A 17,289-nucleotide genomic window follows, 5' to 3' on the forward strand; every position below is an offset into this window, starting at 1 on the left:
TATCGATTAAGTTCACTCTCTTATGTGGGTGCAGTTTGTGGTGCCCCAAAACAATTACAATAGTAACATCAAAGATCACCGATCACAAATCACCACAACAGGTAATACTGAAAAGGTCTGAAATATTGAAAGAATTATCAAAATATGACACAGAGATAGAAAGTGAGTGCACGCTGCTGGAAACATGATGCTGACAGACGCTCAACACAGGGTTGCCATAAACCTTCAATTAAAAAAAAAACACTGTAATTTGCAAAGTGTAGTAAAGTGAAGTGCAATAAAATGAGGTATGCCTGTCCATCTATCATATGACCCAGCAATATCACTCCAAGGTATTTTCCCAATGGAATACTACTCAGCAATAAAAAGCAATGAATTATTGGTGCATCAACACAGATGACTTTCAAATGCACTATACTAAGTGAAGTAAGTCAGATTCAAAAAGCTACATACCATATAATTCAATTTATATGATGTTCTGGAAGAGGCAAAACTACAGAGACAAAAATCTTATCAGTGTTTGTCATGGGGTGTTGGTAGGAGAGGGGCTCACTTCAAAAAGTGCAAGGGACCCTTGGGGAGTGACAGAACTAGTCTGTATCTTGACTGTGGTAGTAGTTACAAAACTGTCAACACGCACAGAACTATACACTAAAAATGGTAAAGCTTATTGTATGTAAATTGTACATTAAAAGAAGTCTGAGGTCAACAACACATATTTCCCTTCATGGAAAACGAAGATTTAAACTACCTATACATACCTAAACATACTTAAACAAAACATTGGAAAAAATCCTGAGCTTTTTTGCAAAATAAAATAAATCACTATTTGCCCATGTTTCTCCAAAAGATCAAAACTTCCTGATTTATTGATAAGCAGAAGTACTACAAACTTACTGAATTTCTCGTCTGATTACTTCAATTTGCTCAGTGATTGATACAGGGTGGGGGAAGTGTTGGAGGTTTATGGAAAGGAGAATGTATGAAACACCTGTTTAGGAGAAAGACTGACAAGCTTTTAAAAGGGCCACAAAGTAAATATTTTAGGCTTTCAGGGGCCATATGATCTCTGTCACAGCTACTCAGCTTTGCTGTGTAGCCATAGATAATACATTAAGGAACTGGTAAGGCTCTGTTCCAATAAAATTTTAATTACGACAATAGACAGGTGGAGCTGGCCCATTGTTTGAACTAAAGACCCAATCTGGATGAGCAGGAGAATGAAAGGACTAAGGAAATCATTTCCAGAAGTCATTATGGGCCCTCTTAAAATCTAAAGTGACCCTAATTCACTGTGGCTTTCTGTTGGAGTAACACAGTCAGGTGAATAAAAAGATCATTAAATTTACTTATGGCTGTAATTTAGCCAACGTAAGTACTATGTATGAGAGGGCAAGGGTATGAATGTAAGCAAGGTAGTGAATATGATAAATGTTGACAATTTAAATTAAATAAGGAAAATGAAGATATGAGGAAAATGAGGGATAGTGAAAAGGAGGTAGAATCACTGGATTGTGGGTCCTTGTGAAGACAAAGGACTGTTGAAACCTAAGTACTAAACGACATGAGGAGGACTGATAGGAGAGAGTGCCTGGGAAATAAGAAACTACAGTCACAGGAAGACTAAAGCTTGGTGAGCACTAGTCTAACATGACCATGACAGAGGAAGAATAAATGACAGTGTCACCAAGAAAACAGAGGTCTAAGAACTGAGAGGGTGGGGCATTCAAAATAACCTGACAGGGGTTGACAAGTTTTTTTTTTTTTTTTTTTAACACAAAGGGCCACAGAGTAAATAATATTAAGCTTTGTAGACCAAAAGGTAAAATCAAGGATACTGTATACAAACTCATATAAGAGAGAAAACAATTTCCACAAAAATTTTATTAATGAAATTCAAACTATGATAATAATAATGCATAACTTTTCACCATACAGTTCTACTAATGAAAACGCTGGAATTCTCTTTTATAGGGCTTCAAAATTAGCATTCCCTATCATTAAAATCAATTGTAAATGTATGTTAATGCTGATCTGCAATGAGATTTTATGCATTTCATCTTTGAAACCGTCTTGTCACAAAGACAGATACTGATATCAATCCATGAAAATGTGATTTTATCAAGCATTATTCACCACTTGGAAGGCATTTACAGAAAATTTTATTAGATCCCTGATATTTGCCTTTTATCATGTATTACACTGGACATTAACTACTTCCAATTAAAGAGTAGGCAGAGTTGCACAATTAAGTGGATTCTGAAATATGAAAACTTTCTTTGCACTTGCATCAAGGTCCAAAATCTGACGAAATTGTAGTTTGAGCTTGGAAAATACATCCACTGCCTATTTGTGTGAGAGTGGAGATTTTGCTTCTTGTTCTAACTGATAGCATAGGAAGTACATAAAACAGCATTTTGTGATTCAATATTAGGTGCTGTCAAGATAACTTTATCATGGGAGAAATTTCACATATAAACACTGGTTTCCCTTGTAATAACAGGCTGAATTTATTAAGAAACATTTTCAAGTCTTCAGCAGAAGCTAATTTCTAAAGCTATTCTTCAGTGATTGAGATTGGTGATATTAATTCAGAAAAAGTTTAATTTTGGCTTTACATTCAAAAGCTCCCAATAAGACTTTACCACTTCTAAGATATTAAACTGCTATATAATAGAGTAAATCAGAACATTCAGCTTCCATAGCTGACAGAAATTCATGGAACACTGATAATGGTTAAGCCCACCAGAGCAAATGAAGTTCACTATTGACACTATTGGTTCAATGACACATAATGTATTCAAATGTTTCTCACAAAGTACTGGTCACAAATACTAACATGAAAGGCCATAAACTTTAAATGCTTTGTATTTCTCAAGCTTTGTAAATTAGTTCAACTAAACTATTCTGTTCCACATGTATTTTTTTTCCCACCATTCGCTGTAACACAACTTAGCAGATCCACTTCAGTTTATATTAAAATGTTTTGTCAAGTTCTTTACTCATTTTTTTGAAAACATCTTGACATTTAAGTTGCATACCATTCCATTCATCCATTTAAAGTGTATAATTCCATTTTGAAACTATTCTTGCCTATAGTTGTTGCACAGAGATGAATTCTTTAGTCACTTCAAACCTAGTATTGACTTCTTGAGTAAATAACAGGGTAATATTGTAGTATAAGAAATATATATTTAGGCTGGGCACGGTGGCCCACGCCTGTAATCCCAGGACTTTGGGAAGCCAAGACGGGTGGGTCATCTGAGGTGAGGAGTTCGAGACCAGCCTGGCCAACATGGTGGAACCCTGTCTCTACTACAAATACAAAAATTAGCCGGGTGTGGTGGCATGCACCTGTAATCCCAGGTACTCAGGAGGCTGGGGCAGGAGAATCACTTGAACCCGGGAGACTGAGGTTGCAGTGAGCCAAGATTGTGCCACTGCACTCCAGCCTAGGAAATAGAGTAAGACTCTGTCTCAAAAAAAAAAAAGAAATATACATTCAATTTTTGTCCCCAGGTCCAGACAAAGAGCTCCTAAAACTCTAGTAATTTCCTGAGTGATCGGGGTGATAAAAGCATCTTTTGTTCTAATATTTGGTCTTTGTCCCTGATTCCTGACAGAGCTCCTAAAATCCTTTCAATTTCCTGAGTGATAGCAGTGTCTTTTATTCCTGACACAGAACTCCTGAAACCCTAGGGATTTCCTGGGTGATAGAAGCCTCTTTCGTTCTAATGAGGCGATCTTTCTGGGACCCTAGATAGCTTCAGGATAGGGGCTGGTCACCAGAAAGACAAGGCCTTGAGTAGAAGCCTAGAAATTTCAGCCCCATTCTCCTCAACCTCCAGGAAGGGAAGAAGGGCTAGAAACTGAGTTAATAATCAATCCATCATGCCTACATTACTAACCTCCATAAAAGCCCCTAAGTAATGAGGTTCTGAGAGCTTCTGGGTTGGTGAACACATCCAAGTGCCAGGATGGTGGCACACCCTAAATCCACAAGACAGAAGCTCCGGTACTTGGGACCCTTCCAGACCTTGTCCTGTGGACCCTCTTCATCTGGCTGTACAACTGAATCCTTTGTAATAAAATGGTAAATGTAAGTAAAGCACTTTCCTGGGTTCTGTAAACTGTTATAGCAAATTATCCAAACTCCCTCCCCCCATGATTTATAGCCAGTTGGTCAGAAGTACAAGAGGCCTAAACTTGTGATTGGCATCCGAAGAGGGGGCAGCCTTGTGGGACTGAGCCCTTAACTTGCAGGATCTGATGCTAACTCCAAGTAGTTAGTGTCAGCATTTAATTAAACTGTATAATAGGACAGCCGGCTGGTGTCCAAAGAGTTGGAGAAGTGTTTGTTGGTATGAGGAAAAACCCACACACTTGGTGTCAGAAGTGGGTAGAAACAGATCATAGTAATTGGTACCATCTGTCAACTCATCAATAGCCAAGGAAAACCACTTGAAATCATCTGCCTTGTTTTTTAATTGACTATTGATGTTGATACCATGTAGGATTTCATTTGAGAATCAGAGTTCCATCAAAAAAAGTTTAAAAGCCATTCTCCTATATTAGTTTCACTCCAATTTCTTCTGTTTAAACAACTATTAAATTTCATCTGTAATTATTTTTCCTCTGAAATGCCTTTCATGTCCATTTCATTCAATTTTCAGTCTTCAGGTCTTTTTCAGAACCTCATCACTTAATAAAATATACTTTGCTAGAGTATGATAGTAGTATTCCTGAGAAATCTCATCATTAAACAATCATTTCAATGAGGCAGGGGAAAGAGAGACTGAGATTAGTTTCAGAAGTTAGTTTCCTTCAGGGGAAAAAAATTTAATGGCTAATTAATTAGATCTACAACCCAAACGCTGCTGAGTGAATATATCCAGGCTGTTATAGAGTAAGTAGCTTTAACTCTCAGTTCAAAAGAGTAATGATTTCATGTAAACTTCAAGTTTATACACAATATTCCAAGAACAGCTTTCGAATACAAAATACCACATAAAATACAAGGTGGAAAATGAACAAAAATACTTTTATTCTGCTAAGATAGTCTGTTACTACTGCTTATTTTTTCACTGCAATCTTTTACTTTTTAATATCAGAAAAGGCCTAGATAATGTTAGACACTGAGCAAATTCTCCTACTAAATAATCTAGCTGAAGTCTGGATGATTAAAGCATAGCATCAAGTATTGCTTTTAGTAGCTAGCCTCCACTCACCCTGTAACAATCAAGAGCTTCTTCAGCCTTGCCTGGCATCGCATCTCCTTAATAACAGCACCTCAAAAGTTTCCCAGCCAGTCTCTAGCATTTTTGTCAAAGGCTTCTGCATAAGCCAAACTCCCTTGGATTTGTCACGGAATCCTAACATTTTAAAATAATACCTTTCAGGTTCCTATAAGTCCATTGTCTATTTCTCCTAAATATCATTTAAGAAAACAAAATGTCTGCAGAACAGGTAGAGCACAACAAGATTTTTCTATTGGGATAAAGTTAGACTTTCTCAGGACTCTAGAGTTAGAGTGGATCAAACTCCACGTCCTCCCCCTCTATCCATTGATAAAGAACTAAAAGTTAGATGAAGTGGGCAAGACCATATATGATTGATTTTTAAGGTGAAGAGAGATGAAGTGGGAAAGAATATATATGATTGATTTTTAAGGTAGAGTTCCTCCATTATGTAAGTACAATAGGCCCATATAGAATACTGTGTGTCTTCAAACAGCAACAAATAGGTTGTTCTTTTTGTGTTTGCAGTCATTTTGTTTTTTTAATTAATGCACTTGTCTCTTTAATTTTAACTAATCACACAAATGTAAAACAAGAAAGAGTAGGGGTCATTATTCTTGTATCAGATAAAACAGACTTTAAACCAACAGTAAAAAAAGACAAAGAAGGTCATTTTATAATGATAAAGGGTTCAATTCAACAAGAAGACTTAACTATCCTAAATATATATGCACCCAAAATTGGAGCACCTAGATTCATAAAGCAAATACGTCTAAACCTAGGAAAAGATGTATACAGCCATACAATAACGGGAGACTTCAACATCCCACTGACAGCCTTAAATAGATTATTGAGGCAGAAAACTAACACAGAAATTCTGGACAAGTGTCTAATTTCTCACTCGACCAACTGGACCTAATAGAGCTCTACAGTATACTCTACCCAACAACCATAGAAAATACATTTTTCTCATTTGCACACAGAACATATTCTAAGATCAACCTCTTGTTGGGCCATAAATCAAGTCTCAATAAATTCAAAAAAATGGAAGTCATACCAAGCACATTCTCAGACCACATTGGAATAAAAATAGGTATCAATACCAAGAAGAACCCTCAAAACCACACAATTACTAGAAACTAAACAACTTGCTCCTGAATGACTTTTGGATAAACAATGAAATCAAGGCAGAAATCAAAATATTCTTTGAAACAAACGAAAACAGAGACACAACCTACCAAAATCTATAGAATGCAGCAAAAGCAGTGTTAAGAGGAAAGTTTATAGCACTAAACTCCCACATCAAGAGGACAGAAAGATTTCAAATTAATCATGTAACATCACACCTAAAGGAACTAGAAAAACAAGAACAAACTAATCCCAAGGCTAACGGAATAAAAGAAAACAGAGTAGAAATGAAACTGAGACCCAAAAACCATACAAAGAATCAAAACAAAAAGTTGGTTCTTTGAAAGGATAAACAAGATTGACAGACCACTAGCTAGATTAACAAAGAAAAAGATTCAAATAAGCACAATCAGAAACAACAAAAGTGACATTATAACTAATCCCACAGAAATACAAAAGCTCCAATGAGATTATTATGAACACCCCTATACACACAAACTAGAAAATCTAGAGAATATAGTTAAATTCTTATAAACACACACCTCCCAAGATTGAATCAGGAAAAAATTCAAACCTTGAACAGATCAATAACGAGTTCCAAAATTAAATCACTAATAAAAAACACACCAACCAGGAAAGAAAAAAAAAAAAAAAGCCCTGGACCAGATGGATTCACAGCTGAATTCTACCAAATGTACAAAAGACAGCTGGTACCAATCCTACTGAAACCATTCCAAAAAATCAAGGAGAAGGGATTCCTCCCTAACTCATTCTACGAAACCAGTATCATCCTGATACCAAAATCTGGCAAAGACACAACGGGGAAAAAAAAAAACAAAACTAAAGGCCAACATCCCTGATGGAAATAGATGCAAAAATCCTGAACAAAATACTAGCAAACTGAATCTAGGAGCACACCAAAAAGTTAATTCAGTTTGATCAAGTATGCTTTATTCCCGGGATGCAATGCTGGTTCCCCATATGCAAATCAATGAATGTGATTCACCAAATAAACAGAATTAAAAACAAAAATCACATAATCATATGATCATCTCAATAGACACAGAAACAGCTTTTGATAAAATCCAGCATCCCTTCATTATAAAAACCCTCAAAAAACTAGGCATCAAAGGAACATACCTCACAATAATAAGAGCCATCTATGACAAACCACAATCAACACTATGCTGAACAGGCAAAAGCTGGACACATTCCCCCTAAGAACTGGAACAAGACAAGGACGCCTATTCTCATCACTCCTCTTCAACATAGTACTGGAAGTCCTAGCCAGAGTAATCAGGCAAGGGAAAGAAATAAAAGACATCCAAATAGGAAAAGAGACACTCAAATTATCTCTCTTTGCTGACCATATGATTCAGTATCTAGAAAGCCCTAAAGACTCTGCCAAAAGGCTCCTAGACATGATAAACAATTTCAGTAAAGTTTCAGGATACAAAATCAACAGCATTTCTATACACCAATAACATTCAACTGAGAGGCAAATCAAGAACATAATCCCATTTACACTAGATGCACACACACATACCCATACCCTAGGAATACATCTAACCAAGAAGGTGAAAGATCTCTATAAGAAGAACTAAAAAACACTGCTGAAGGAAATCACAGATGACATAAACAAACGAAAAAAAGTTCCATGTTAATGAACTAGAAGAATCAATAACATTAAAATTGTCCATACTTCCCAAAGCAATCTACAGATTCACCACCATTCCTATCGAACTACTAATATCATTTTTCACAGACATAGAAAAAACTATTCTAAAATTTATATAGAACCAAAAAAAAAAAAAACAGCCCCAAAAGCCAAAGCAATCCTAGCCAAAAAAGAACAAAACCAGGACTTCAAACTATACTACAGGCTACAGTAACCAAAACAGCATGGTACTGGTACAAAAATAGATACACAAACCAATGGAACAGAATAGAGAACCCAGAAAAAAAAGCTGCACACCTACAACCAATTGATATTCAAGAAAGTTGGCAAAAAATAATCAATGGGGAAAAGACCCCTAATAAATGGTGCAGTGGAAACTAGCTAACCATATCCAAAAGAATGAAAGTGGACTTCTACCTATCACCATATGCAAAAATTAATGCAAGACAAATTAAAGACTTAAATGTAAAACAAAAACTATAAAAATCCTGGAAGAAAACCTAGGAAATACCCTTCCAGACATAAGCCTTGGCAAAGAATTTATGACTAAGTCCCGCAATTGCAACAACAATGAAAACTGACAGGCAGGACATAGTGGTTCATACCTGCAATCCTAGCACTTTGGGAGGCCAAAGTAAGAGGACTGCTTGAGGCCAGGAGTTCAAGACCAGCCTAGGCAACATGGCAAGACCTGATCTCTACAAAAAAAACTGCAACAAAAACAAAAATTGACAAGTGGGACTTAAAGAAACTAGAGTTTCTGCATAGCAAAAGAATCAGCAGAGTAAACAGACAACCTACAGAATGGGAGAAAATATTCACAAACTATGAATTCAACAAGAAACTAATATCCAGAACCTGTAAGGCAGTTAAATCAACAAGCAAAAAACAACCCCATTAAAAACTGGTCAAAGGACATGAGAACAGACACTTCTCAAAATAAGACATACAAGCAATCAACGTATGAAAAAGGTCAGGCACAGTGGCTTATTCCTGTAATCCCAGTACTTTAGGAGACTAAGGCAGGTGGATCGCTTGAGCCCAGCAATTTGAGACCAGCCTGGGCAACATGGTGAAGCCCGGTCTCTACCAAAAAAAAAAAAAAAAAAAGCAAAAATTAGCTGCAAGTGGTGGCGTGCACCTGCAGTCCCAGCTACTCAGAAGCCTGAGGTGGGAGGATCGCTTGAGCCCGGGAGGTTGAGGCCACAGTGAGCCCAGATCATGCCATCGCACACCAGCCTAAGTGACATAGCAACATCATCTTTAAAAAAAAAAATGAACACCACAATGAGATACTATCTCACATCCCTAAGAAGGGCTATTATTAAAATGTCAAAAAAAAAAAAACATGTTGGCGAAGCTACAGAGAAAAGGGAACACTTATACATTATTGGTAGACGTGAATTATTTCAGCGACTGTGAAAAACAGTCTGGAGATTTCTCAAGGAAGTAAAAACAAAACTACCATTTGACCCAGCAATCCCATTACTGGGTACATACCCAAAGGAAAAAAAAATTCTACCGAATGACACATGCACTCATACGTTTATGGCAGCACTATTCACAAAAGCAAAGACACAAAATCAACACAGGTAACCATCAGCAGTGGACTAGATAAAGAAAATGTGGTACATATACACCATGGAATACTACACAGCCACAAAAAGAGCAAAATCATGTCTTTTGCAGAAACATGGATGCAGCTGGAGTCAATCACCCTAAGTGAATTAACATAAAAAACAGAAAACCAAATAACACATGTTCCCACTTATAAGTGGGCGTTAAATCTTGGGTACACACAGACGTAAAAAATGGGAACAATAGACACTAGGGACTCCAAAAGGAAGAAGAGAAGGAATGGGGGAAAGGCCTGAAAAACTTCCTATTGGGTACTATGTTCACTGTCTGGGTGACAGGATTAATAGAAGCCCAAATCTCAGAATCATGCAATATCCCCTTGTAAGAAACTTGCATATGTACCCCCTGAATCTAAAGTAAAAATTTTAATTAAAAAAAGTTTAATAATTAACCTATGACCTCGTCAATTCACTCCTAGGTAATTAAGAGTAAACTGAGTATATTTTCTGGAATAATTAAAAATGCACACTGAAGCTAGGCACAGTGGCTCAGGCCTATAATCCCAGCACTCTGGGAGGCCAAAATCGGAGGATCACTTGAGCCCAGGAGTTCCAGACCAGCCTGGGATACATAGGGAGACTCCATCTCTAAAAAAAAAAAAATACAAAAAATTAAAAAAGATTACCCAGGCATGGTGGTGTGCTTCCAATATTCAAAAATCCTGAGGTCTTCAGGAGTTTGAGTTTAAAGAAGTAATTGAGTATTTTTCCAAAAGAATATGGTGTGAAATAATTTGTAAAACAAAGCATTATATCTAGACCCAACTGAATGAATGTTTCATCTTCTGTAGAATGTAAAATAATTTTTCAGGGGGCCCTACATTAAAGGAAGGCAGGTTAACAAGTCAAAGAGTAGAGAAACTTATCTTGTTTCAGAGTACATTTTCTACAGTTTTTGAAAATATTTTAAAAAGGCAAACCAAACCATACTATGGACAAATAAGAAAAATAAGAAACTACTGTGAAAAATAACTTTAGCCAGGCATGCTGGTGCACACCTGTAGTCCCAGAAACTCAAGGAAGCTAAGGCAGGAGGATTGCTTGAGCCCAGGAGGTGGAGGCTGCAGTGAGCTATGATCATGCCACTGCACTCCAGCCTAGGCAACAGAGGGAGACTTCATCTCTGAAAACAAAAAAAGTATTTAAGTTTTGCCTACTTCTCAAACTGACCAAAGCTAAAGTAATATTACATTCCTTAAAGCTTAACTATGTTGTTCCATTTGTTTTAAAAAAATTTAAATACCTAAATTTGATTAATACATTTGTAATTATGAGTAAATATTTTAGCATAAAAATATTAAATATTATACAATTTTCTTCATATTAGTTATAATTAACAGTAACTTATTTTCCAAATTTCCAACTTTCCTCACAAAACAGTATTTTTTTAACATGGCAGTTAAATGCCTTGGTATCTTATAATGCTTTACACGATAAATCTGACATTCCTTAGCTTAGCATCAAGGCTAGACAATGCAATTCCAAAATCAAGCTTTCTAGACTTATCTCCTCACCCCCACTCTCCCCGTCCTTCCTGCTTTCCTCAGAATGGCCATTTACATGCACATCTTGCCTCTGCCCACTCCATTGTGAAATCCGGTCTTACCCCTACACCCACAGACTTCGTTTCAGCGAAGCGTAGAAGGCTACATACATACAGGCTACAGGCCAGGTTCAGTACTGGCTTTGCCCTTACCTGAACAAAATAAAAATCTCCCTGGTTAAAACCAAAAGTTGATGTCACTTCGAAATTTCCTTGGTGCTTGATCTACCCTTTCAACAGCATATTGGTTAAGGGCACAAACTTCGAAGAGCTAGATTGTTATTTACCAGTTATACGCACTGAGGGAGGTGACTTAATCATTTTGAACCTTATCTGTAAAACAGGAATACCAGTACCCTCCTCACAGGACTGCTGTGTGGATAAAGTGAGATAATTTATGTATTGGGTTACAGTGCTTGGTGGAGAACAGGTACTCAATAAATTTACTTAAGTATCACTAGGTCTATGATAATCATGAATTCTTAGGAATTGCTAGGTTTTTTTAAACTGCAATGAAGTACCTGCCTCCTTCTGGTTCTTTTAAGCCAGGATATATGACACACTGCTTGGCCTCCTGTCCAGCATCTGCAACTGTCTGGGTGTTTGCCGGTCTGCCTCAGTTTTAACTTGCTACCCTGTGTGTGTTTCTGAATCGATTATCTGAGTATCTGTTTACCTCTTCTTGCCCAACGATTCCCAGCTTCCTTCAGTACACTGTAGATTTTCTTTCTGGTCCTGGCTTCCATCATACCTTTGCTTTACTACCTATGGTTCCTGTGATGACACTTGACTCCCATGCAACACATGGATTACAAAGCCTAAATCAAATTCACTCTTGAGATCACTTAAGTTCTATCTCTTCCATGAAGACACCAATCTGAATTGTCTGGTCTATTTCAATGAAATTCTAAAGCACAGGTTGTCTGCACCATTGTGTTGGAAATCTGACATATGCTTCATCAAATTGTGAGTCACATGATTCACATGTTCATTCATTCAATGACTATATGTAAGAATGAGACCACTTCAACCAAGTCTCAATTTGTTAAAGACTTGTTAAAACAAATGCTACACATCTTTTTTAAATATAGCTGCTATGAACTAACAAAAACATTCTATATAGATTTGAGGGGTAGGGATACTCATACATAAAATACATACACTTAATTGAAAACTGGGCAACTTTCATTATAAAGCCTCTGATTTGCCATATTTCTGTTGTAAGACATAATAATAAAATGGAATCAATCTTCTGGATGACTTCCCCTATCCTCCTAAACAAAAAAAATTTAAGTATGGTTTAATATTTTTATATATATCAGGTTTTTATCAATTTATATATTTAATTACACCATACTTTAATTATATACATATATACACACATATAAATGATCTCTTTTATGTCTTTATTGGGATATTTTGATATATAGTGTTAAGCTTTTATATGTTTTATGTATAACCAATCTTTTAGTATGAATTATTAACAGCTTTGCAGATAAAAAAAAATTGGTTTCTAAAAGCTTTGTTAAAGCAGAAAATGTCAGTCCCAGCAATCCATACTTCTCTGCTTAATACTTCCTTGGCAAGCTCTGTCCATGCCAGTGCAGTCTGGGCTTCAGCAATCACAATGCCAGGAGCTTGTAGTGCACACAACATTCTCAGTTACACAAACAGTATTCATTTCCTTCATCCTCACAAATTAAGAGTTAAACTCTAAGTAGGTCTTTAACATTTTCTTTCATAAGACTTCTCTATTAGAGCTAATTAACTATAAATTAGGGCTTGAAAAATGTGAGCAGAAAACTAATTTTTATCGATAACTGAACCATACTAAGGGAAATATAAAGGGTTAAGCTAAGTTAGTCAAGAGTAAATCAACATTCTCTCTAACCCCACCCCATTAGCCCAACTGGTTTACAAAAATAAGATGCTGTTATTATTCAGCTATTTAATACAGCTATTTAATACAGTTGTGAATAAAAGTCATAGTAAAGAGAAAAAGAGGACTGCTGTGTTTTCAGGCATGAAGAACACTAACTTAGATGACAGGTTTTCCAGTGTTTTTATATTTTTACAGAGAGAACTGTATACATCTAAGAACTAAAGGCTTAAAAAAGAACCTTATGGAAAAAGAAACCTAGTGAACATATATAATTCTGAGTGATTTAGTTTTTTCAAAAATCTCTTTTTTTTGGGAAGAGAATCTTTTTTTTTTTTTTGAGACGGAGTCTTGCTCTGCTGCCCAGGCTGGAGTGCAATGGCATGCTCTGCTCACCACAACCTCCGCCTCCCAGGTTCAGGCGATTCTCCTGCCTCAGCCTCCCGAGTAGCTAGGACTAAAGGCATGTGCCACCACGCCTGGCTAATTTTTGTATTTTTAGTAGAGATTGGGTTTCACTATGTTCTCAAACTCCTGACCTCGTGATCCGCCTGCCGTGGCCTCCCAAAGTGCTGGGATTACAGCGTGAGCCACCGCACCCGGCCGGGAGGAGAATCATTTATAAAAACTTCCCTATAGAAATAGCTTCGTAACATTTTTACTAATTGAAATAAAAAATAAATTATGAAAACTGGCATAACTAAAAAGCTACCATAATTTGTATAACAGAACATCAGGATAGGTATTCTGTGGCTTACTATTTAGAGGAATTTACAAAAATAAAATTAAAAATTGTACTTAAGTTTTTTACTCCTCAATCCCTCTTGGTGATAAGACTGGCAGTTTCTTAGAGTAAAATGCTCACGGGGTGAGAAGAAAATAACACAACTATGGATATATGCCATTCTAACATTTATTCTATATATGCATTTTTAAAATAGGCACCTTAGACAAGGAAAGGGCACGTCAGACAAAAGTACTTGATCCACAAGGAAATCTGCCAATGATGATAAATGTTTAACCTTGATATGCGCTTGATCAGTAATCCTGGCCCTAAACAAAATGATCAATTATAATTATCTTCGACCTTAGCCTCAAATCCTCATCTTCTCTCTCACATCCAAAACATCACCTAAATAAAGGATCTGTAATATTCACAAAAAATATAATATTCACAAAAAAGGTAAATCTCCCATAACTGCCAAAAATAGCAGTCCTGAGGATATTTACAATGTGGCAGTTTTCAGTGCCATAGTCTAAAGGAATAAAGCTTAAACCAGAATTTCAGGGACCAGCCTCTGGATGAAAAAGTACTCTCCCCTAAAATGGTGTTTCATAGACAAGCCCAAATGTAGGAAATGGAATTAAATAATAGCCTGTCTAGAGCACATTAAAAATTTTTCCTTTTGAACCCAAATCAACTATGTTCTTGGTTTTAATAAGACACAGGTTTCTTTATTGTTGGCCACAGCTACCAAGCAAGTAATGATTTTTAACTATGTTGCAAAGGGGCAGAGAATGGGCTTGGAGGCCTGAGGGACCAGGAGAAGACAGTATAATGAGACCTAAAGGGAGAAGGAAGGATGTATGGAAAATGGAGCCTTTAAGGGCAGATGGTTTTCACCAACCTTTGAGGGTCGGTTAGGTGACTCATTACTCATTTGACAATTTAAAAATGGATAAAAATATGGAAAATCTTTTTTAATGCCGTAACTATTTAAATGCATTCTTCTAAACTAAGGGCCTACAAATAAAGAAAGCCTTCACATGGGCAAACTTCAGGGCACTACCCTCCTCCAAAAATAAAAGTCACTTAGAAAATGAAAGGAAGAACAGTAAGAACAGAATAATAAATGATGGAGACCTATTTGTGGTTCTAGATATATATTCCCAAATAGGTTTAACAAAAAACATTTTACTGTCTTTAAAAAGAATCTATAAAAAGAATCAAGAATACGAAGTAAAGAAGGGAAAACTATCCCCTTATATCAGTTCCACCTAGTAGGGAGGGAACAATAGGGCAGAATTGATTCTCTCTTCAAAAGAACTTTTCTTTGTTAAGGAACCCTAGTGATTGCTTTGCCCTGGTTCCTCTCAACTCCTTATCTTCTTCTACACTGTTCTCTCTAACATGAGAACTCCAGCCTTTGCTTCTACCACTTTTAGATGCTACTATACCTATAGGAAGGCTAAGCCATAATTGGCTTAGTGACAGAGCAAGAAAAACTCAAAAAGGCCCAAATATAACTTTCTGCTTCTAGTCCCATTCTGCATAGCCAGTGATTTCACATGTGTACTCTGGACTCACAGAGGCTTGAGCTGAAATCTTGGTTCCATCATTTACTAGATATATACATTTGGGAAAGTTCCTTAACTTATGTGCACTTCTTACTACCTCCTCATCTATAAAATGGGGACAGTAATAACTCCTGCCTTTCAAGATTAATGTGAGGACTAAATGAGATATTTAACACAGTTTTCTGGTACTTAGTAAATTCTAAACAAACATTAACAACCCATTATACTCTGCTTAAATCCAAGATTCCCCATGGTCTAGTGCAGTTGATTACAGGATTGTGACCAGCACTTTTTTAAAAAAAGAATTCATACTCACACACAAAATATCACAGTGCAATGAAGGTGAGTATTGTTTCAAAAATATTTTTTTCAGATACACACCCACCCACACACATATATTCTTAACTTAGCCTCATGTGGCTTTTCTGTGACACCTGCCCTAAGAACGGACAGCACATGTGTCTCTTCCTCAGGGCACAATAGTATCTTGAGAATTTTGTATAAAATTCTACAACACTTAACTGCACTGTGCTTGCTTATATGTGTGTTTTTCCACGTCTGTTTTTCCACAAGAACGTAAACTCCAAAGAAAGAAACTGCCTTCTGTTATCTATTTCTGGTGCTTGAAAAACACTGGATGCTCAATAAATTTTTGTTGAATGAATGAGTAAAATATCAAAACCTATTAGGTATTAAGAACACACAAAAATAATCACTTTCATTTGTATCTGATCAGGTTTTATTGTTATATAGGAATTTAAATTTAGCTATAAGTCACACAAAATCTATAAATTTTTTTCTCCCACAGTGCCTAGTATAGCCCCTTCTAATAAAAAGAGATGAATACGTTTACTTAAAAAACTGAAACTAGTAATGTGCAAAATGATTGTTAAAAAGTAGAACATCCAAGCATACAGACATGTTGCACAGTTAAAGTTTTATTTATTTATTTATTTATTTATTTTATTTATTTATTTTTGAGACGGAGTTTCACTCTTATTGCCCAGGCTGGAGTGCAATGGCGCGATCTCGACTCACCGCAACCTCCGCCTCCCGGGTTCAAGCAATTCTCCTGCCTCAGCCTCCCGAGTAGCTGGGATTACAGGCATGTGCTACCATGCCCGGCTAATTTTGTATTTTTAGTAGAGACGGGGTTTCTTCCATGTTGGTCAGGCTGGTATCGAACTCCCGACCTCAAGTGATCCGCCCACCTCAGCCTCCCAAAGTGCTGAGATTACAGGCATGAGCCACTGAGCCCAGCCCAGTTAAAGTTTTATTTAAGCAGACCAGACACATTCAGGCTTCTTTTTGGGGGCAAAGAAAATTGAAAAAAAAGTTATCAGACAGAAAAGGTTGTTTCTATATGACAAACTGTCCTTTCACAAATACTGCAGGTCCCATGAGAACACATCAAAATAACAACACTGGGCAGGTACTTGCTTGAGTACTTAAAACAGAAAAATATGAAGAACTTAAATATTTTCAATATTCTCATATTATCACAATTCTCAATTCTATTCAAATGTAAAATTCAAAGTTATACAAATTTACCAACTCTGCTTTTATTCCATCACAAAAAGCAAAACACTGGAAATCAATTCTAAAGAAACACTTTTCAACATGCTTAGAGGCAACAAAGGCAAAGTCAACAGACTACTAAATCAAAGTTACTTATAAAAGTTGGTTTTACCGTTGGCAAAAATAGATGCAAATAAATATTTGCTCTAAAATGAGACTTAGGTTTTTACGGTATGTGTTCCTTTATAGTAATCCTCTAGAATATTTAATTTCTAAATCATTAATAACTTGACTGAGAAATTGGCAGTTCTCAACTTTTTAAGATTACATGTCTAAGGGTAAGGTATATACATGAAAGGGAAAGAAAGAGA

At 36.4% G+C, this 17,289-nt stretch overlaps 1 protein-coding gene across 13 annotated transcripts in view; it reads right to left on the minus strand.

Annotated features, from left to right (window-relative positions):
* ZNF148 (zinc finger protein 148) overlaps positions 1–17,289 on the minus strand; it is a 149,686-nt gene that overhangs the window by 34,403 nt on the left and 97,994 nt on the right. The window contains exon 9 of one of the 13 annotated variants that reach the window (NM_001348436.2): positions 13,998–16,082. The exons of the other annotated variants lie outside the window; for them this stretch is intronic. Coding sequence (NP_001335365.1) covers positions 16,042–16,082 — 41 coding nt within the window. The 3' untranslated portion in view covers positions 13,998–16,041. Of the gene's footprint in view, positions 1–13,997; positions 16,083–17,289 lie in introns of those variants that run through there. 13 annotated transcript variants of the gene reach the window in all.

The sequence above is a fragment of the Homo sapiens genome, chromosome 3, assembly GCF_000001405.40.
Source record: "Homo sapiens chromosome 3, GRCh38.p14 Primary Assembly".
NCBI lineage: Eukaryota > Metazoa > Chordata > Mammalia > Primates > Hominidae > Homo > Homo sapiens.